At 48.5% G+C, this 23,396-nt stretch overlaps 1 protein-coding gene across 48 annotated transcripts in view; it reads right to left on the bottom strand.

Moving 5' to 3' along the window:
- RGS6 (regulator of G protein signaling 6) overlaps positions 1-23,396 on the bottom strand; it is a 762,695-nt gene that overhangs the window by 56,133 nt on the left and 683,166 nt on the right. For 20 of the 48 annotated variants that reach the window (NM_001370289.1, NM_001204423.2, NM_001370282.1 and 17 more), the window contains one exon: positions 7,367-11,480. The exons of 3 other annotated variants lie outside the window; for them this stretch is intronic. In NM_001370289.1, coding sequence (NP_001357218.1) covers positions 11,430-11,480 — 51 coding nt within the window. In that variant the 3' untranslated portion in view covers positions 7,367-11,429. Of the gene's footprint in view, positions 1-7,366; positions 11,481-20,540; positions 20,608-23,396 lie in introns of those variants that run through there. 25 more of the 48 variants (XM_024449761.2, XM_024449759.2, XM_017021820.3 and 22 more) reach the window with 5 other exon arrangements.

Genomic DNA, 23,396 nt, shown 5'->3' with positions numbered 1-23,396 from the left:
GCATTTCACTCAATAGATCAGCTCACAGTCGTGCGTGTGTGTGCACGTGCATGTGTGTGTATATGCAGCTTTCTTAACCCCTAAGTGAGGGCCTCCCTCCCGGGAAGAGAACCCAGGATTGGTTGCTGCAGAACAGCTTTGTGAGGGTGGCAAGCAGAAAGCCAGCAGAAGGGGTTGGAGCTGGCTTAGAGAAATTCTGGCCGCAGTCAGGCCACAGCTCACAGACTGGGGTAGATAGAAGTGGGCATCTTTGGTTGGAGAAGAAGTGAATAGGAGATATTTATCTATTCTGGACTTCAATTTGACCCCCTTCCCAGAATCCTAGTGTTCTCAAGCTCAAAGGAAACACAGGGGCATCTGGTTCAGTGGTTCCCATCTGCCTGTGGGTCAGAATCATCTAGAATTACTTGTTAAAAATGTAGATTCCTGGGGTCTTTCTCAAACTTCCTGATTTGCAATCTCTAGATGTGGGGCCTGGGACTCTTTCTGTTAAGACATTTGCCGCAGATAAACTGGGTTACCAGCTGCCTAAGGCCACACTACTAGTGGTGAACCCAAGTCTTCCCACTCTCCATCCAGGGTGTTTCTTCTTAGAGCTCAAGTGTCCCTGGGGCTTAACGCTTTAGGAAACAAGGCTTCTATTGGACACAAAGTGGGTGTGTGAATAGCTCTCTTATGCTGCTGACCAATAATCTACCTAATTAAATTCCTTTTTTCCTATAAGGAAGGGCTCAAGGGCTTTAATCTCCAGAGTGGGCAGAGACAGCCGAAATGGACCACTCGCTCTGGGATGACCTGGCATCTCCTGATCCTGTCTTTGGCACTAGGCAGGATTCAAAGTCCTTTGTGGCTGCCTTCACTCACTTTCTCTAAGGACCAGCCCTGTTCTCTTGGTGACTTCGAAAAACAGGCTTGGATTCTTCCTGATCTGTAGCTAGCTCTTTTTTTCTCTCTCCTTCCCTCCCTCTCTTTTTCTTTCTCTCTTCCCCCTCTCCTTTCCTGTTTCCCTCCCTCCCTCCTTCCCTCTTACCTTCTCTTTCTTTTTTTCTGTTTTTGTTTTTAGCAGCTTTACTGAAATGTAATTCACATACCATACAATTTATTTGTTTAAAGTATGTAAGTCAATGATTTTAAGTATATCCACAGAGTTTTGCACAATCTCCACATCACTACAATAAATTTTAGAACATTTTCATCACTCCTCAAAGAAACTCCATACCCATCAGCAGTGATTTTTCATTTCCACCCCACCTTGTTGTCTCTAGGCAACAACTAGTCTACTTTCTGTCTCTATCAATTTGCCTATTCTGGACATTCTTTGTAAATGGAGTCATACAATCTATAGTCTTTTGTGACTGGCTTCTTTCACTTAGCATAATGTTTTCAGGTTTCATCCATGTTGTGATGTGTATCCATACTTCATTCCTTTTTATTGCCAAATAATATTCCATGGTATGAATACGTCACATTTTGTTTAACCCATTTACCAGTTGACAGACATTTGAATTGTTTCCATTTTTTGGTTATTATGAATAATGCTGCTATGAACACTTGTGTTCAAATTTTTGTATGGCTGTATGTTTTTATTTCTCCTGGGTATATACCTATGAATGGAATTGCTGGGTCATAGAGTAACTCTATTTTTAAGCTTTTGAGGAAATTTCAGACTGTTTTCCAAAGCGGCTGCAGCATTTTACATTACCACCATTTTATATTCCAGAACTCTACATTCTGACACTTGTTAAAATCTGCCTTTTTTATTATAGCCATCCCAGTGGTTGTGAAGTGGTATCTCATCATGGAATTTATTTGCATTTCCCTAGTGGCTAATGATGTTCAGCATCCTTTCCTGTGCTTGTTGGTTATTTGTGTAGCTTCCTTAGAGAAATAATCTGTACAGATCCTTCACCCAGCATTTAATTGCATTATTTATTTGTCTTATTACTGAATTTTACAAGTTCTATATATATTCTAAATATAAATACCTTGATAGCCAGATATTTTCTCCCAATCTGGGATATCTTTTCACTTTATTGATGGTGTTCTTTGAGCCACAACAGTTTAAAAATTTTGTTAAAGTTCAATTTGTCTATTTTTTTCTTTTGTTGTTTTCATTTTTAGTGTTTTACCTAAGAAACCATTGCCCAATCCAAGATCGTGAAGATTTACTTCTATGTTTTCTTCTAACAGTGTGATAGTATTAGCTCTTCTATCCATTTTCAGTTAACTTTTGTATAAGGTGTGAGGTAGGGAATCAAATTTCATTTTTCTACTTCTGTTTCATTTAGTTATTCCAGCACCGTTTGTTGAAAAGATGATTCTTTCCCCTATTGAATTGTTTTGACACTCTTGTTAAAAATCAGTTGGCTATAAACGCATGGGTTTATTTCTAGACTCTCAATTCTTTTCCATCTATCTATATGTCTCTCCTCTTACCAGTACTGTCCTGTCTTGATTACTGTAGCCTTGTCATGAGTTTTGAAATCAGGATATTTCTACTTTTTATGCCCACCTTTCAGCACACACAGCAAGGCTGGGTGTGGCGTCAGTGGAAGTATCTGACTAGATGGGCTAAGGACATTTCAAGGAGAGTAAAGACCATGGTAAGCATAAGACCAGGAGTCAGGGACCCTAGTCTTTAATCCTTGCCCTGCCATAAGCCTGTATAATCTTATGTAAGTCACTGGATGTTTCTGGGCCTCTGTTTCCCGTTCTGTAGAATGAAGGCTCTGGGTTGGTTGATTGTTAAAGGAATTTTCAATTCTAATAATCTGGAGGCATGGGGGATTCAGTTTACATAGGAAAAGTCCATCACAGGACCCTCTAATTTTATAGCTAAGCATTCATAGACTTTCACTTACTTGAAACTTAGGTATGGGAGAGGAAATGTACAAGATATGTCTGGATTATGCTGTCATACCAGATAGCAATGAAATTCCCAAAGATTATCAAGGTCATGTCTAAAGACTCAGGTTCTCACTGGCCAAAGATGGGACACTTTGGACGTCAATAAGGACAATAAATGCAATGGATCAAAATATATTTAATATATTTAAATTCATGAGTTCATAATGCTGCTTAGCAAAACTCCAATTATTTGGAACTTGTGAATATTTAGATCTCTCGCTGAGGGGACCCCTGGGTCATCTCCTCCAGTTGACCTGGTTTTCATGGCTATCTCACTCTACCCTGGATCCCCATGTCCCTGGGGTCTGTTCCAGCACTGTGTTTACAGTTAGCTTTTATCACTTTTCTAAATCTGTGCTAATCTATTTGGAGAAGGCATGGGAGAACTCCAGAGTAATTGGTAGGAGCCGGTCAACCTGGAGTTGCACCAAGCACTGCCTACTAACTGAATAGATAACGCCTCACTCTGATATTCACTATTGCTTATACTATCATGTAACCACTACCAAAAATCAAGACAGAGAATAATTCCATTACCCCTTTGTGCCCCTTTATAGTTCCATTTCCCACTCTGATAAGTACCATTACTTCCCTTTGTTTCCTAGTACAGTTGTCCCTCAATATTCATTAGGGGGTTGGTTCCAGGACTGTCCCCTTTTCCCACGGATACCAAAATCTGAGGAGGCTCAAGTCCCTTTTATAAAATGGTGTAGTATTTGTCTGTAACCAAAGCACATCCTCCTATATACTTTACATTATCTCTAGATTGCTTATAATACTTAATACAATGTAAATGCTGTGTAAATCATTTTAATGCTATATTGTTTTTTAATTTGTATTTTTACTGTTGTTATTTTTTAATTTTTAAAAATATTTTTCATCATGGTTGTTGAATCCGTGGAAACTGTGGATACAGAGGGCTGACTCTAAGTAGCTTCTATTAGATGAAGAAAGCATACATTCTCTTCAATGTGTGGGTTCTATGATCATATGCTTTCTCAAACGGGCTCACAGATTTTGAGGGTTTAAAAAGGTGACTTTTTAGTGAAGAAGTATGTCCCACCAGCCCGAGGGGCTGGGTGGTGGTCATGACCTAGACGCTAAGCTCTGCTCCTCCAACTCTCTCTGCTCTTCCCACTATAGGCCTCAGTTTCTTTATGGATAGAACAAAAGGCTGAGCAATGTGCTACCTAGACATGCAACAGTGTGCACTGAGCTAAGCAAGGGAAGATGGGCTAAGGTCACATAGTGTATAACTCCTTGTTCATTCGTTCCCTCCCTCCCTCCCTCCCTGCCTTCCTTCCTTTCTTCCTTCCTTGACAAGTCTCACTCTGTCGCCCAGCCAGCAACTGTGTGATCTCAGCTCACTGTAACCTCCACCTCCTGGGTTCAAGTGATTCTTGTGCCTCAGCCTCCTGGGTAGCTGGGATTACAGGTGCCTGCCACCACGCCGAGCTAATTTTTGTATTTTTGGTAGAGATGGGGTTTCACCATGTTGACCAGGCTGGCCTCAAACTCCTGACCTCAGGTGACCCGCCCACCTCGGCCTCCCAAAGTGCGGGGATTACAGGTGTGAGCCACTGTGCCTGGCTTGTATGTGGCTTTCTAAAAAAGGCAAAACTACAGGGTCAGAAAACAAACCAGCAGCTTCCAGGAACAGAGGGGTAGGGGGAAGGAATTAACTATAAAGGGGCACAGGAACGTTTTGGGGTATGAAATTATTCCCTATTTTGATTTTCAGTGGGGGTTATATGATTGTATATGTTTGTCAAAACTGATAACAATGTTGTAATATAAAACGGTGAATTTTAATGTAGGTAAATTATAGCTTAATAAACAAACTAAAAGTCACACACACACACACACACACACACACACCCCAGAGAATCTCACAGGTTCCTCCCTGTGTTAATATTCACTGTTCTCTACTGAGGGTGCGATCACAGGCAAGGGCCACAGGAAGAGATATCCAGGGACTTGTCTCATTTTTTAAACGTCCGCTCCCTGATCCCTCCTACCCCTTCCTAACCCAGAGCCATCCTGTGATGTAATGGGAGAAAGAGAAGAACCAGGCTTTATTTTCTTGGTTGGAAATTGTAGGAACGAGGCTGCCCCTCCCGTGGAGGTCCACGTGTTCCCTTGGACGCCAGGTGTTCTCAGAGGACGGAGGCAGGTCCTTGTCCTAGGTCAGAGGGCAGAGTCACTGGCCTGAAATTGAGTATTTTGGAACAAGAGCTCAGAGTCCAAATCTCACGGAAGTAGCCATGAGGTCCGTCAGACAAACGGGGATCTAGATGGGCAGCGGGAATCTGCACTGTTTCCATTTTCCATGTGGGGTCTGGGGAGGGCGCCTCCGGCCCGCCACTCTGCTGTTTCTCAGGCCTAATGCAGGGTTATTGATGGAGGCCACCCAAGTGACACACAGGGAACCAGGTCCTCACTGGGAAGAAGGGAGCCAGGGGCTTGTCAGAGGCAGAGAGAGGCCGCTGCCCACACAGGCAAACAAAGCCTACAGCCTCGAGGTTGGCGGGAAGGGCAGCTCTCAGGGGCCAGGCTGCCAGGGAAGTTGTCCGTCTGGCAGGGATTTGCAAACATACCCTCCCTTCACCGCCTTTCAATGCCTATCTCAGACATGGCTCCAGCTAACACCAGCACCCATTTCGTGAACATTTACCATGTGTCAGGCCCAGGCTAAGCCCTCTAGATTAATTCACAGCCACCCGAAGATTTTGAAATTCTCATTCTTGTTTCACAAATGAGGACACTAAGGCTCAGAATGAGGGTGGCTCTGGGGCTCTGCACTCAGGGGCTGTTACTTCGTTTTGTCTGCTGAAATAAGCCAGACCTGGCCAGGAGACACCTCAGGGCTCTGAGGAGGAGAACCGAGCCCACACTTCAAGCGAGGAAGAGCGTACCAGAGAGCTCTGTGACAGATGGAGCTCACGTGGCTACACCCGACACCCCAGGCCCCTTTAAAATAAGCCAGATTCCACAGCCTCTTTTTGGCCAGGGGGCCCTGCTCCTCTGTGTATGGGGTCTGGGGCAGATCCAGTAACCCCCATTGTGGGCGCTGAAGGGCTGTGTACAGGGAACGGGCCCAGCTGCAGGTGTCGGAAGTCCCACGACGGGGGTCAGGGGTTCATATGGGTGTTTCTGTGAAGGAAGGGTGGCGGAGGGAGAGCCTGCTGGGCAGAGCTCTGTGGGCCCAGGAGGGGATATGCCTCTCAGAGAACTACTTGGGTTTGGAGGTTGCCACATCCCAGGAAAAGTTCTAGGATCAGAGACACTCATCAGAGGCCCTGGTGGTTCCTCAGAGGCTGGGATCAATGAACAATTGGAGGCTGGCAGCAAAGGAGAGGACAGCTTCATGCCTGTTATGCCACAGGTCCCCAGAAGGGTGTAGGGAGAGAGGCAGCTGTCAGGATGGCTCTCATTCTTGGACCGGCACAGCTTTTTGTGTTATAACTGGTAGCCTCAAATCTCCATCTTGATTCTGGACCTGAAAGCAGAGCCCTGCTCGTGGCGGTCAGGGTAGAGTGCATGCACAGCAACAGCCCGATAAGCAAAGATTCTGGAACTAAGCCAGATGGTCCAGCTGAGAAGGCAGGCGCAGCTTGGGTTCCCTGGAGGTGGTGGCCATGGTCAAAGAGGACAGGCTCTTTTGGGGATGGACCAGGACGTGAGGTGGGACATGTTATGGACCTGAGGCAGATGTGACTTGATCTTAACTCTGTGGGGCAGAAAATCCTGCACAAGGGGGTGGCCCAGGGATTGAAAGATGAGTTGGTTCCCTTCTAGCTGTGACTGGAGTCCCATTTTCATGCCTCTGAAATCATTTCTACCTTTAGGAGCAAAATTTCTGCCACTGAAGTATGCAGCTAGGTGTTGGCTTTCTCATTAATAGAGGGATTGCAGTACACTAGCACTGCCTTTTTACCTTGCGCTCATCCTCCTCTTGTCAGCCTGACGCTCAGGCTCTCAGAGTCCAGCTGCTTTGGCGTTAGTGGGAAGTGCAACTGTCTGTCGCTCAGGAAACCGAGACTCTGTGTAAGAAGCACCGTCTGTATGCAGCAGACTTTGACCCTGGGATCTTATTCAAGAGGGTGTCAGAGCAGCCACAGGGTTTTGCACCTGAGTACAGACAATGGGGTCTGGAGAACCCCCCAGCCAAGGAGACCCTGGCAGAGTCAGGGACTTCAGCCTTATGGTGACACCACTGTCTCTACCTACCAGGATGAGTCCAATGCCCCAGAGATCTGGTTTTTCTGTGCTGCCTGGCAGCCTGGTTGGGAGTGAGAAGGAAACAGGTGTGTGTGTGTGTGTGTGTGTGTGTGTGTGTGTGTGTGTGTGTGTGTGTGTGATAATGGGGAAGGGTGGAGTGTGGGGAGGGGTGGTCGATTTTTCTAGAGGTACATCCTGCCCAACGAACCCCCAAACCAAGGAGCCACACAGAGTTAGCTGGATTGAAGTGGGTTCAAGTCATTTATTTTTAGACTGTACCAGCATGTTTGGTTCTGGGGTCCAATCCCCAAATTCCAGAAAAATAAACTAAAGAGAACCACATGCACTAAGAGGAGGCCATTCCGATGAGTCCGTGATCATGCGGTGAGTGGGCTTAGAGTATAGAACAGGGACCCCTGGTATGGAGCAGGGCCTTCCCTCCCCAGACAGCTGACAGCAGCTGGCTCTGAGCCCTCATCGGGGCTGGGGAGAGGGCCAAGTCCTGGTCATTTGGACCCTGTCCCCGTATAGACCCGGGCCCTTTATTGCTACATTTGCTACTTTGCTACTTTATGGCCCCTGGGTCTAGCCCAGGGGATGCCTTATCACTGGGTGGTACTAATGAGTAGGTTGCTGGCATCTGCTGTTGCTATGGTTACACGAGCACAGGCCTCTCTTCAGAGGGTCCCATGGTGAGTTATTAGTGATTCGTCTGGCCACTATTCAACTTATCCCATGGTCTTTGCTACATATTCAACTTGGGCAGCTCCTTTTTGAGGCTGGTGGTGCATTATCTCCCCCCGAGCCCAGAGTTTCCCAGCTCCTGGACCTTGCAGCAACACCTCCCTCCAATACATTCTGCAGGGCCCAAAGGAAGAGAGCCCTTAATCCTTTCCCTCTTCTGGGAAGGCTTTCCTGGTGGTGGTTTTTGAAGCACATGTATATGGAGCAGAACAGGAGGGATGCATTTTAGGAAAAACATCACCTTCCACAATCACCAAGGGGGCCAGTTGGGTGGCAGGCTCCTGGTTCAGCGTCCTGTTGGTGAGGTAGTTTGAAATCCCAGGAATCCTGCCAGGGAAGAAGCCCCTGGAGCATGTCCCCATGTGTTCAGCTAGTCCAAGCTGCAACTCAGAGTCGCAAGAGGTCCCTCCCAGGATGCTGGCCCGGTACCTGACCACTTAGCGGTGGTGAGCCTGGAGCGCAGGCCCAGCTGACTGCACTGGCAGTTGGGCCCTGCTTTGTTCCTGGGGTATAGCAACACCTTCCCAGGAGAACAAAGCTGACGCATCACTTTCTAGAAGGGCAGGAGGCTCCTCCCCAGCCCAGAGAGTTCCTGCTGCTTAGTTCAGGCCATCTGGCTGCGGCTGGACGTTTATATGTGCCAGCCTACAAGCTTTCCTCTTCCCATGTAGGGAAAGGTTATTTTAGTCAGATGCCAGTGCCTGGTGCCTTGTGTGTCTAACCCGACGGGTGGGTGGTCACTTGCTGCAGCTGCCCTGATGCTGTGGTTGTGGGGCTGCCAAGATGTGGCTGGAGAGCACTTTTCCTCATAGGGAGGAGTCCTAGGCCCAGAGACCACACCCAGTCAGGGAGGCTAAGGCAGCTTCTAGGGGGAAGGGACGGGGTAGGGGAATTTGCTTTGCTACAGAATTGCCTGCAAACATCTAATCTAGTCTGAATTTTTGGCTGTGTAGACCAGGCCAATGGGGGACGGGCCAAGACCAGATTTTCCAAATGTACTTGCATGACCAAGTTCTGCGTGGTAGATGGACCTTGGATAGGCAGCCTCGTTCCACTCCCTTCTTGCAAAGCTTCTGGCTTGATCTACTGGGGAACATGAGTGCCTTAGCTGTGGGGTGGTGTGAGAGTATTATTGCTCTGGGTTTGAGTCCATCTGAAGTCTCCCTAGCTCCGTTGTGCTTACTGACCCTCCCCTCTGGATGTCCCCAGAGGTGCTTGTAAGCCTGCAGCCAGCTCCATCTCAGGGCCACAGTCCACCTGGCTCTGGTCAGATCCTCTGGGGATCTCCAGGGTGAGACCAGTCAGAAGGAGAAGGGGGCACAGAGGGAATGGCCAAGAAGCCAACCCTGCCCTGTCTGCAGCCTGGCTTAGAAAGCCCCTGCATCATGGGGAGGAGCAGGGGGCAGCCAGGCCCCTTGCCCTGGATAACTGAGGGCACTGAGGTGCCTGCTGCTTGGGAACACCCTTTGCCCTATGCCTAGGGGTCAGCACAGCCCGGGGATCCTTGGGCAAGGCTGGGGGCAAATGAACTTAGACTGTAATTTTGTTCTGAAACATGAGGTTTATACAAAGAGAAAGAGGATGAAAGGGGCCTGTCAAAAGACCCCATAACTTGGAATGGGGCTTTATGCCATTGATTTACTCATCAAGTGGTTAGTGCCTCCAAAGTACCAGCCTCTGTGCTGAGCATGTGCAGGTGTCCAGCAAGAATTGCTGCCTCTGAGACACTGAGGACTCAACATCTGTCATCTCTCTGGTTTCCACTGTACCTCCAAGAGAGGAACCATTGCCAGTGGGGGAAACTTGGGCATGGTAGTCAAGAACTCACAAGGATACAACATAACGAAGACTCCTAATGCCCGCGATGGCACTGCTGTGAGGGACAGAAGGCTGGTGCCCTGGGGACAGGGCTGTGTGGAAGCAGACATAGACAGGACTTGGAGGTGGTGGGGTGGAAAGATGGGTCACTGGGGAGCACCCAGGAGGCCGGGTCTGCAAATAAGCAAGCATCTGAGCCTTTGGTCACCAGCTGGCGAATTTGGCTGCATGAGAAAAGAAATACCAGCGATCGCTTTATTGCTTCTATGTTTTTTGTTTATATGCTCCCAAGAGAGATTTTTTTTTTTACCTATGACCAAAAATAGATCAAAGGAGGGTAGTCATAGCAAGTGGGGGAGTGAATGTCTGGATTCAAAACAGGTTACTTAATACAGCTCTGTCTGTGGGCTCATGGGTGTCACAATAACAATGACAATGATGATAGTATTAGCTACCGTTTGCTAAGCACCTACTGCGTATCAGGCACCTGACTCGGTGCTTTACATACATTACCTCACAGCCAGGTTGGCAAATGGTCATTTTGACACACACACACAGGGAATACAGGTGGATCTTTTGCAGGTTTTTGCATTTCCCCTAGGTGACCGGTTTAGAGGGGTGCTTTGGCTGGGCCTTCAGATAAAGACTGGGAGGAGAGCCCTGTGGCCTGGCCTGGTCCCTTCGTAGCATACTCTGCCCCAGCTTCACACACAAAGGAGACCTGACCCAGCAAGGGTCTCACTGTGCCTGTCAGGATGCCACCACGTGGGGGCTGCCAGCCCTGCAATCCAGCCACCTCCTGGGCTGGGGACCCTCCCAGCTCCCACCTGGGGCTGCCAGAGGGGAGAATCCCAATGGCCCCTGAGTTCATGGCCATGTTTATTTTGAGTAAAACATGAGGGAATAAACCAAGGAGCAAGGGGGCAAAGCCAGAATAAATTATGAAATAATTTTCTAAAAGATGGTCAGCAGAATCCCCGCAGCTGTGAAACAAAAAGCTCTGTCATCTACAACAGTGCTTCCTCGAACGCTGGACCCTTGAGACATGTGACGGGACCTGAGGGCAGCCACCGGGCTGGCGGGGACCTCTCCGAACGCTGATCTCAAAGAGGGTGGAAAGACCTTGAGGCGGGGCAATCCGTGAGGTTGCTTTCTTGCTGAAGATGTGATTTGGACATTTTACGTGAAAGCAGTGCCTGGTGCTGGCAGTGACACCCGGGTGGCCACAGAGACGTGAGGGATGACAGGCGGCGGTGGGGATGTAGTGGCTGTAACTATGGGAGGTGCCAGGGAGGTGATGCAAATGCTGGATGTGCTCTCGGTCCACTCATGCCTCTTGAATTTGCCAGAAGGTGTGACCGTCTCCAGACAGCGAGGGAGTGAGGATAATAATATAATCTCAAGTGATAGTCGTGACAGGAACCCCACGACGTGTTCTCCCCTGAATGAGCTGGGATCAGGGCCTCTTAGCGAGTGGAGTGTTGGAATACAACTGTACAAAGAAGAGAGGGCTGTAAACAGGAGCCTCCACCGGGCCCAGCCCAGGCTCTGTGGACTCTTTCTTTCTGGTCTCCCCATTCACCCACCGAGTCTCCCCACCATCGCCCTTCATTGCCCTCACTCTTTCTCCTTCACAGTGACCAAGTCTCCTCGTAAGGAAACTCTGTCCGCAGATGTGGAGCGCCGCCGCCTGCCTGTGGGGTCCGCGGGCCCAGGCCCTGGACCTGCGGTAGGAACGGTCAGGAGGACTGCATCAGGCCCGTGAGGCGCTTGCCCGCCAGCGACTTTCCCTGCAGAGAGACAGCGACAGAGAGGCACGCACAGGCGCACACACAGAGGGACAGAGACAGAGAGCCAGACAGGTGAATTAATTGTTGCATGAGCCATGTAGGCCAAACGACCAACCAACCCAACTGACCATCTTGATATTTGATCTCTAGGTGTATGGGAGCCTTAACTTTGGACAGCTGGAGAAACCAGGGCTCCAGGGAAGGTTCAGGGAGTCCTGGAGGGTCCCCTTATGAGGGTGTGTTGTTGGTACTCTTTTTGTGGTATGGGAATTTTACTTACCAAAAACCAGGTATTTAAACCTTTAGGTAGAGCAATTTTTAATGCCGGCGGGCTGCCCTGAAATTGATTTTGTTCACGTGGGGGAGGAAAAGGTGGACTTGGGGTGTTCTGAGATCAGGGACGGGGGCTTGACTCAAATAGAGGGTGGCCAAGGATCTGGCTGATCAGAAGCTAATGAATGAACTAGTCTTAAGAAGGCAGAGTCCTGTTTGGAATGCAGGGTAGACACAAAGACCTTGAGTCCTCTTGATGACCAGTTCTGGGACCATGAAAGTGGGGGGCATTTGCTGGGGCTCAGAGCCACTGTAGGCCCCAGGGCAGTGCACTCCTGCTGTCTCCTATGTTCTTGGCTTCCCATCTGTGGCACCCAGAGGCAGAGTTTGATGACCCCATACCAGGAAAGCCTACAAGCCCTTCAACTATAACCCATGTGGCAGTTCTTCTCAAAAACTAAAACAGTGAACTGGATCATGAGGCCTGGTGCATCAGCCATAGAGGTGCCAGGAGAGTCCCGTTGTGTATGTGCCCTGGAGAGATGGCGGAGAAGCCCCTGATCTAGGAGGGGAGTTGCGACTGGGCACCAGGAGGAGGGTGAGGGGCACGAGCGAGGCTCCGTCGCTTTGCTTATTGCCCTTACATAGTGTGTGCCCGTTCTCCAGCTCACCCTCTTTAGAAATCCGCATCATTGCACAGGGCTTTAGAGGACAGTATGGCTAGACCCAGGCAGATTGATCACTGTGTCTGGGAAAGCACTCCAAACCCATATTATTGACAGTGGGTCAGCGACACCACCGCCATCTGTGAAGGGCAGCACGTGATAGCTCGTCAGCATGGGGCTGCAGTGTTTGGCCGTGAGATTGCAAGGGCCAGCGATTCCTCATGTTCATTTCCAAGTGGGGTGTGAGGGCTCGTCTTGTTTACTGGGCTTGGCTGCGTGTAAGCTAGATGTAATTTAAAAAATTGATCAGGTTTGTGAAGCCTGGTAGGGTCCTCAATAAACCTGCTGATTGATGAATTGATGGATAACGGGTTTATCTAATAAACAACACGGGCTGTGGATTTGCTGGATACAGGACAATGTGGCATCTGGCTTAGATCTCCATGGAGAGGCATGGCCAGCCTGACTTTGAGAATTCTGGTGCTATAGATGGGAGTTTGTCCAAAAATGAAATTGCCCTCAGGAGCTGTCAGAAAGTCTGCCTTTCCCTACCTCTCCTTGACCTTTTTCCTCCCCATTGCTTTCACTCCCCATTTTCACTAGTGAGACAAAACTTTTCATTTTTTCTCCCCATCTTAAACACACACACACACACACACACACACACACACACACACACACGTCCACAAAATCACCCCATCAGCAACCTTATCTGAATCTTCAAGTGCACTAAACTTAGCCTGCAGCAGGATACATTTATACTTGGCTAAGGAGTTTTTAATCAGATTTTTAAAAAATCCAAGAGGGTTATGGTGTCAGTCTTTGAAAATCACTAAGAATGACTACTCCTTTGTCTAGACCAGGTTAGGTACAACAATAGCTCTTAGAAGGCAGAGGCTGACCTTCAAGGGCTCCCCCCAGCCCCGGGTTCTGTGGCACACACCCAGCGGTGACTCTCCTTGAGTGCCCTTTCTTACATAGAGTGTGAGGCATTTGTCACTCGGGAATGTGCCTTCCTGGGGCAGGCCTGAAGGCAGGAAACATGGGGGTGTGGGGCATCCTTGCTGGGGAAACACGGGGCTGCTGAGCCTAGGGGCCTCCTTGTGTGAGAGCTCTTACAAACCTCCCCTACCCCCGGTTACCTATGTCCATCCCTGTCCTATGAAAGGCACAAAGGAAGTTTGCTCTCCTTTTAGGTGCCACTTATTGCTGTGATAACCACCACACACCAATATCAGGTCCTCCTCCTCCTCCCATCCCTCCTTCGCCAGGGCCACAAATCACACATTATGTACCCAAATATATATGTTCTGAGTTTGCTATCCACAGCGTTTGGGGCTCTCATTTAGCTGGTGGATGGGAAAAAAAAAATCACTCAAGCTTCTGAATAAGAGTCTGTTGCCAATGAGTACATTCAAAGCCCAGAGACAAAGGAGGTGAGGTTTACCAGTTGCCCAAACCTTCACTGCAGCCTCATTCCTATTAACAAGGTTATTTTGGCTGGAGAGGGGACTGTGGGTTGAGGGAGGTTGGAGATTCTATTTCTGGAGGATTATGTGTCTATTTGTTTTAGGTGAATTTGGCCCTGAGGCTTCCATACCCTCAACCCTTCCCCTTTCTACAGAATGGGCTGGGCTGGGCTGGGCTTGAAGGTGCTAATTATTCTCTTCCTGACTAAATCCTGGAGCTCAGCCTCACCGCTCTGACTCCAAGGACCTGTGGCCAGCCTGTCACTGCCCGCTCCTCGCTTCCCCCGACTGCTTTTATTTCCCAGGATTTCAGGGTAGGATGGTGCAGCTGACCAGCTTAGGGGCCACCCTTGGGATTGTTCCCAACCTCTCAGCAACCCAGGCGGTGCTGCTTGGCATTTTTGTCTCCCTCTCCCCACTCCTGCTTTCGCGCATTTACCAAATGCCAGCTTGCTGCTAAAGATGGAGGTCATGAGGGTTCAGGTCGGCTTGAGAGGCAGCTCAGCCCAGCTGCAATCTACTCGCTACCCAGTGACCTCCCGCGTGAGTGAGGGCAGGCTCAGACTGGAAGGCGGTTAATCATGCAGGATGCGGGCATGGGTAGATGCCTGGCCCGGGGCTTTGGGGAAGAAATACTGCAATCACACTTGCTCAGCAGCTGCTTCCCTTCTGAAGAGCTGAGACTCCTGTAGTTTTCAGTGATCAAAGTGAAATCTGATAGTAGAGGCTACCTGTGTTCAGAGATGAGCTGCCCCAAAGTGCATGCCCCTATAGGCTTGCAGGAAGCTCCCGAGGAATCCGCTGTGCCCAGAGAGAGGGGAGCTCCTGCCTGTACCCTCCAGGGCACTGCCCCGTCTCTTTACTCTCATCTCTGTCTCCAGTTTGGATGATCCTGAAGGAACCACTTCAGAAGGGGAATGGTAATTCTGCCTGCCTGTGTCTGGCATTTGCATAGTTACAGAGGAAGCAGGTTTTTTTCAGGGTGTGAGTGTGTAATGTTCCTCAGTGTTGGTCAGTTGGGAATGGATCATGGTGCCAGGAAACCGCAGCCAGCTCAGCCCGAGGCCTTGGCGTAGCTGAGCGAAGCAGCTGAGGATGGTTGAAAATGCTATTAGCAGGCAGCCTTTGTCCAAGTGAAAAAATATACAGTGATTAAGAACTGAGCTGCAGAAGGTACATTCCAGAGACACCAAAGCTTTGCATACCGACAAAGTGCTTTTCACCTTTGAGACATTTGGCAAAGTGTAATCCAGTAGAATTTGGGATCCTTCAATTTCATGGACCATGGGCTCAGTGCTGGGTTCACTAACACCCACACATTCAATTCCCACCCTCCGCTCTGATTAATCATTTCAGCTCTGTGGCCATCTTGATGGCTAGGAGCCTGGAAGAAGGTGGTCATGGAATCCTTTGTTTTCTGAAAGGAAACACACAAAAGGAATAGCCCCCTTTTGTGCAGTGAGAAAAATCAACATGCTGCTTGACATGCTGTGGCTCTGTGCATTGCACTTCCACATATTAATCAACAAAGCATGCACTATCTGGGTTACCAAGAGCTTTTGCCACTTACTTACCTGGGAGACTGATGCTAAACTCTTTCTTTGGCTGGGAGGAGGGCTGTGGCTCAGAGAGTAGCCCTGGGGGTCAGATTGGGGCATACTGGGGGACAGCAGAGCCAAGCACTAGCGGCTCAGGGAGGATCTTTTTCAATGCTAAGAGAGTAAAGACATCTGAGCTTCTGATGAGATTCTTTTGCTGATCTGCTCAGATGAACTAAGACCGAAGTTACAGATCTCAAGTCTGCCAAATCAAAATCCAGGCTATTATGGGGGAAAGAAATCAACCACGGTTGCCCCTGGGGGAGAAGGATGAAATTGATTGGAAAGGGACATGAAGGAGCCTTCTAGGGTGATGGGGTATACGTTACACGGGTGCATACACTTGTCAAATTCATTGAGCCATGTACTTCAGGTCTGTTCATTTTACCGTGCATAATTATATCTCAAAAGAAAAAAAAAATTAGGACAAAAAAAAGTCCCAGCTATGACATCTATGCCTTGGAATTTCCCACTCCTTACCCTTCTTCAGTTGCTGGGCCCATCCCTGGGTTTGGAGAAATTCAATGCTTCCCCCTCCAGTACAGGAGGAACCTGGATTCCTCTGTTGGGGAATTCGAACTCGCAACAGAACTAATGTGGAACACTATTTCTAGCCTCCATTGATGCAAACGGATCCCTTTGGTGTGACACACAGGCATTTTCCATCCCTGCTCATGAAAAATCGTGTTTCGTTGAATACAGCTCACCATGCAACTTAGCAGGCAAGAAGTGGAGGCCCCAGAGAGAGATGAGTCGTGCTCTCAAGGAGCCTGAAGGTCACCTTTGAATAGATGGTGCTCAAGTTCATAAAGGATGTATACGTGTGGAATTAGAGGCCTGGGGTGGGGTTGGGGGAGACTTGCTGAGGATAAGGGTCAGGAGCCCAAGAGCCAGGTGGAAAGGTAGGGGATCCTGGCTTGGGTTCAGCAGGATGGGAGAAGCCAAAGGCCTGCCTGACTTCATCGGGTGACTCCCGGAAGGTTGCTGCCCCTGGTGCTCCTTCTCCACTGAGCAAAGCAAAAGAAATGATTTTAAAAGGGAATGCAAAGAATTCCGTGGCATCTTCTTCCTCAATGATGTCTAAAACTGGGGAGAGAGAGTGCAGTCTGAGATGTCGGAGAAACGCTGGCAGGGGATGGTGGGAAAATCCACACTTAACCTAGAATAATTTCAAAACACTTTTTAAATTCTCTATTTCTTATCACCCTCTATTAACTCAACTCTGTGAAACAAGGTGGGGCATAGGAAATGGAAAAACCGGGCTATGGAACCCGTTATGGTTCCTCCACAACAGAGGTAGGTCAGAGCAGCATGGGAAGGAAGAGAGGCCATTCCTGTCTTTCTCACCCTTCCGCAGTGAGGAGGGGCGGGAGCCTGTGGCTGACCCATTCCTGGGGTCTGTGTTACTTGTAGGGCCTTGGCAACCTTCCTCAACTCTCGCAGGGGCTTAAGGGCATTTTATGTGGTTTTAAAATATTTTTTTATTTGACCCCTTTTAAATAGGAAGCTATATCACAAACATAAAACAATACCCCAATTTTTTTAAAAAAGTCAAGGGATAGATGAAAAGTGAATTAATCAAAAAAGAGACGTTCACTGATTAAAGAATTAATAAATGGTACATTCATGAATACTTAAAACTGAACCTGTTTAAAAAATAATAAATTTGATCAAAATAAACGTAATGGATTTTTTTTTCTTGCAACAGCACCCCCCACCCCGCCCCCCCGACCCCTACCTTCTCATGTACAGTGGTATAAAGACTCAGGCTGTGTGTGGTGTAAACACTCAGGCTCTGCCTGGTAAACACTGGGGATGGAGGAGGTACCCAGCAGTCACGTCTTCTGAAAGCAATTCCCACAGAATGTCACTGGGACCACTAGTAGGCTCAGACACCTTACTCTATCCTGTATTGGTGATATGGTTTGGCTCTGGGTCTGAACCCAAATCTCACTTCGAATTGTAATCCCTATAATCCCCATGTGTTGAGAGCGGGAACTAGTGGGAGGTGATTGGATCATGGGGGTGGTTTCCCCCATGCTATTCTCGTGATAGGGAGTGAGTTCTCATGAGATCCGATGGTTTTTTAAGTGTTAATACACACTCGCTCTCTCTTGCCTGCTGCCAAGTAAGACTGCTTCCCTTTCCACCATGATTGTAAGTTTCCTGAGGCTTCCCCAGCCATGTGGAACTGTGAGTCAATTAAACCTCTTTTCATTAGAAATTACCCAGTCTCAGGTATTTCTTTATAGCATTGTGAAAATGGACTAATATAATTGGCAACTACCAGTGCTTTAAAATATTTTAAAAAGTTTTTGAATCTACAAAAGAAGAGTTGCCAGTTCTCCTATCTGGATTAAATGTAAAAGGACCCACCTATCCCCTGATCTCCCATGGGCCTGTTTGATGGAATGGCACGGGTAGCTCATGGACCCTCTCTCCTCAAGTGCCTTGTTCTTCAAATCACTCAGGCCTTGACAGTGGCATGGTGGGAATGGTCCCCCACTAGGTACACAGGTAGCTGTGAGGACAGTTACTAACAAACAGCCACCTGCTGATGGACCATTGAGCAACTATTGTGTGTCTGTCAAGCATGCGAGGCATTTTACAAGCACCCGCACTTACTTATGTCCACAACATGCTTGCCAGTTAGGCATTTCTATAAACTCCACTAAACGAACAAGGAAACAGACTCAAACGGAGTTTGAGTAACTTGCCTGGGAGTGCATGGCTAGTCAGTGGCAAAGCTGAGTTGGTCGGCCTTCACGACCCATGCCCCTCTTACTTTGCACATGGCTGTCACTCTCAAGGAAGGAGGCAGATGGAAACACTCAGGGATGAAGGAGTCCCCTGTGCCCAACCCGTACTGGGCAACCTCTCTGGGCAATGCAGGGTGATTTTCTCAACTTCCCTGAGAAAAGAACTTAAGTTCTTGAGCATGCTTGAGCTTATCTCAGGCAGGTTCTATGCTGCGAAGCGGCTTCCCCTCATCCCATTTGGAAATCCTGAGAGAAAGGAGGTGCCATCTGCTGGCTGACAAGCCTGGCAAAAGGGGCTTTTGGTTACTGCATTGAGCTGGGGTGCAGGTCACCATGGCTTGGTGCATGTAGATTTCAGGTGGTAGCTGCTGGACAGGCTGGGTGAACCCACCGTTCTGTTTGTGGCCCTGTGTTACTGATGCTGATGCCTCTAGGAACACACATGGCAAATGCCCCAGGGAGGACAGGAGCAGGTGTGATGTTTCCCTTTCTAAGGTGGGGCAGGCAGGGTGGCCTTACTCTAATGAAAACCAACCCCACTTTAAATCATTCTAGGCCAAGTGCCTAATTCGGGGTGCCCAGCCAGGTGGAGGAAGCCCTCCCTGCTGGTGTTCCTGGCATCTCTGACCCTGGCCTCACCATGCTCATCACTTTCTTCTGCCTGTCAGTTTTGCTGAGTGATGGGGGACCTTTCTCCATGGCCCCCCAGCTGTGCAGGGACAAATCCGGAGCTGGGTAGGGATGGTGGGAGAGACAAGGACTCAGCAGCTGAGCCCTACATGAGTGGCAGAATGCCAGGTCCAGACTCCCCGGTCTCGCGTCCAAGTTGTGCATCTCCATTTTCCCTGCTACTCTGCATCCCTGTGTGGTGGAAATGCCCCCTTTTCACACCAGCTCTCTCTTCTCTCCCTCCTCTCATCTGACGGAACAACCCTGTTGCTCTTTCTTCTCTCAGCTTGCAGGAAATTCTTGGTGGCTTCAGGAGTGGAATGAGGGTGGCATTCTGCCTGTAAGGCCTCTCGGTGGCATGCCTTCCTGTGACCCACTTAATGCCCGCCTGTTCCTCTTCTCCTCCTCCTTCCCAAATGGACTCTGGCATCTAAGCTCTGGTTCACTCCAAATTAGGCAAAGACCAAAAGGCTCTAGGAAACAGGGACATGGCTGTGTTGCTATTGGCAACAAGTTGATGCTACTTTTTTCCAACTAGGAAATTCAAGTAACCCTTGACTATGACTACGGGAGACAGTGAAGCTGGAATTTAGTTACTTGATATTGTGGACAAAGCGGCAAGAGAAAGTTATTTGGTTGGCAGTATGTGATTCTCCTGAGGACCTATGAGGACTCTGACCCCATCCTCCTGAGGACACTTATCTCTTGCAAATGTGTTCACCCAAAACACGTACATTTCTTGGGGTCCTTGGTTTAGCCAGCTGAAAAGGCGGAGCCTAGAATTGCTGACCTCTCATCCCCCCACAAAAGCATAACAATTCAGTGAATGTCCATGCCCATTTGGATGCATATGCAAAGAGGGCCGGCTCATTTCTTTCTTCCCCACTATCAGGAATGCAATTTAGCAGGCACTTATCAGACATGGATTCCTAACCGGAGGAAGTACACCAGGGAACAGACTAAGCAGCGTTTTCAGGAGATACCTGGACAGAAACTTAGGTCATTGGAACTCTTAGCTACAGAGAACCTTATTTCCCTACAGGCTCTTTTCACGTGCTGCTGAGATGCTTTTGGTCCCCATGGGACAGAGGATGGGCGGTTTCCCAGCTTTTTTCTCCCCTGATGGTGTAGTGTGTAGAAATGTGAGATTGCTACGTTTCCTGCAGGATTTGGCCCAGGGCCCACAGAGGAAGAGTTATGGAAGCTTTCACCAGGAAATGAAGCCTAAGGATGCTGTTATTGGATTTAGAAGCATCTTCAAAGGTAGTGGGTATTCCCTGTTCTGCTAGGGAATGGGACTAGGAGAAGAGAGTTACTGGGTCAATATCTAAGGATGTTATCTGCACATTGCCTCTGGGACAAGGGACTCATCTCAGCATCATTTCTGGACCCCTCAGCTCCTTGTTTCTTAGGAGAGAAAAACTATGGGTACAAAAAATGGGCAGAAAAAACAGAGACACCAAGAAATGGGTGCTGCCGACTGTCCCTGGAACCAGGGCATGAGAACAGGAGTGGTGGGCAGAGACGATGCCATGGACAAACAGATCATCTCTTTTGGATTTTGGAACACCTTCTGTGCAGAAGGATTCCACAGATTAGAGAGTGTGCGAACGCCGGGATCACTCACCCACTGCTGGAAGGAAGCCACCTCGGGGGTGAAATGCAGCGGCCATTCTGACTCTGCGCCAGCAGCACTAGGCAATTGTGTTTTTAGGAAGGGAAGTGAAGAATAACTTATCCAGCTGAAACTGTGAAGACCTGTGGCTTTAGAGGAGCCCCTGCCCAGACACACACACAGCTGCAGAGGGCATGCAATCCATGCAACAGAGATACTTGCAGGTTTGCAGCTTATGGTTATATGCACACCATACACTGAACACAGAGGCGAACATCAGGCAGGCGGCACATGCACCTGTGTATACACCTGTGCACATGTGCATACACCAGTGCATGCGTTCATGTGCATGTTGAGACCACAGGCACTTACAGAAGCATCTCATGCAAGGTGCACAGGCAATCGCTTGTTTGGCTGTAGAGTTTTCTATCAGCTCCTAAGATGCCACTCTGACAAATACTGCAAACTTAAAGCATTCACCTTAAAATACATATATAAAAATGGAATTCTCCCCCATGAAAAAGGCATTTATTGACCTCATTGGAAATAAACAACTTCTCCACTTCTGTTTCTGTCGGTACTATAGGCAGTAGGAGTGCCCACCCCAGGGGTCCGGTTTATCAAGGAATTTCAAAGCATCCCCTGCCACGTGCTTCTGACTCCTCCACTACCTCGCTTTGGAATAAGTGGTTAAAAAAGAGAAACCTCTGTTTATTGGACTGACGGAGCAACTGGACTTGTTGAGGTTGCATTGCTCAGGGTGGCTCCAGGCAAGCAGACAGCTGAGAGGTGAGTGTTTCTGTCACATGGAGGGCTACATTTGGAGGAGTGGATTTCATCTTCTTATCTTGGGTAGACCCATTCCTTATCTGTCTCTGGTAGCAGGAGGCACCTTCGAGTCCTTCAACTCAGTAGGCGGCCAAATGCCAGATCCCCACAACACGTGCACCATTTGCCTGGTGGCCCTCCCCACCTCCCAGCACCTTACAGGCTGACAAGCCCCCCAGTTCCCACAGCTTCCCGGGAAGTGCTTAGGGGCCCCAGGAAATCGACCATAGAACAGAAGCTGGCCTGCTGGGCACCACAGTCCCTTCATTTCCAGGAAATGCAGAAAAACTAACTCTCTGAGTTGACTTTAAAAATAAGCCAACAATCATAGCTGCCATTTATTGAGTAGTTACCATGAGCTGATCTCTGTAATACATGCACCTTGTGCAGACTGTCATATAGGAGATACCCACGTACCCACCCTCAACCACAAGATGTATATAATGATGCCTATCTTGCAGAATATTGTTGGAAATTAAATAAGGTAATAAGCGCAGCCTAAGTATGAGCTGCAAATAATATCATAATGATGAAACTGATTCTAAGAGCTACACCTGTTAAGCACACGCACTGCACACAGTGTGCTAAGGACGTTATGCATTTTATTCCTACTTATTTACTCTTATCTCCCTTTTATGGATGAGGAAACTGAGGCTTAGAGAAGCTGTGCAATTCAAACAACTAAGTGATGGAGCTGAAGTAGAACCAAAGTCCATCCCAGGCAAAGCCAGCATGACACAGTCCAACACTGTGAGTGTGAGCTCCCAATAAATGGCAGCTCTTGTGATCACATCCTCATTGAATGCCAACATCTACCCTGTGCAGTGGGCTTTGTTGTACCTGTCAGACATGCAAGTGACTTGCCCAGGGTCACATAATATCAGGTGGAGAAAAAGGGATTCAGCTGGGGTTGCCTGTCTCGAACTTAGCTTACTTCTCTGCATTCTGGTGGGTACTAAAGGGACCGTTGTTCTCAAGGGGTCACACGAGCAGGCCACCTTCAGTAGTGGATGGGAATGCAGTTGGGGGAAATGTCCCTGCCACGTTTTTGACATTTAACTCCAGGTGGTTGGTGCTGCTCAGTCACAATCCAGCTCCTTGCTCTTTTGAGACACAGGTAGTGAGGTAACTGGCTACCTGCAGGGTAAAAGGCAGTCTGGTTGGTATGGGACGGTCAGCCACGAGCAGCCAATCAGGGACCTCTCAGAAACACAGTCCTGCTGGAGCAAGATGCACTTCACTGTGCGGGCATCTGTGTAGTCCCCAGGGAATATAGAAATGAGGGGAACCTGGATGAACCTGCTGAAGGGTGGGTCACGGGGCTCACACACACAAGCCACACTCCTTGATGGTCCTTCTCATGATGTCCTACAGCTATGATAACTATTCAAGAAAGCTATGAGCTGGGCACGGTGGCTCACACTTGTAACTCCAGCACTTTGGGAGGCCGAGGTGTGCAGATCACTTGAGGCCAGGAGTTCGAGACCAGCCTGGCTGACATGGTGAAACTCCGTCTCTACTAAGAGTACAAAAATTAGTTGAGTGTGGTGGTGCAGGCCTGTAATCCCAACTACTCAGGAGGCTGAGGCAGGAGAATCGCTTAAACCTGGGAGGTGGAGGTTGCAGTGAGCTGAGATTGCGCCACTGCACTCCAGCCTAGGCAACAAAGCGAGGCTCTGTCTCAAAAAAAACACCCCCCCAAAAACCAAACCAAAACAACAACAAAAAGCAAGCAAGCAAGCTATGATTAAAGATTAGCCAAGAATGAGATGTGAAGCTGAATCACTACCAAGGAAACCTCCATCAGGTGTAAAACCTCCATCAGGTGTAAAACCACCGGATTGTGATGACTCACAAAGGCTAGTGATTGATTGACTCCTTTAATTATTTAGAATTATGGATGCCTCAGAACCTTCTAGTATTAACCAGGACAGAGCACGTATCAGAATTCCCCCACCACTTTTGCTGCAGAAGATTACAAGGTTGGGTTAAGTGTTGTCTTGGATGCTCCATCTCCATTTCCCAGTGTAATGTGCTATG

This window comes from Homo sapiens, chromosome 14, assembly GCF_000001405.40.
Source record: "Homo sapiens chromosome 14, GRCh38.p14 Primary Assembly".
Taxonomy (NCBI): domain Eukaryota; kingdom Metazoa; phylum Chordata; class Mammalia; order Primates; family Hominidae; genus Homo; species Homo sapiens.
Note: the sequence above shows the minus strand (reverse complement) of the source record. Positions and strands in the feature narration are given on the sequence as shown.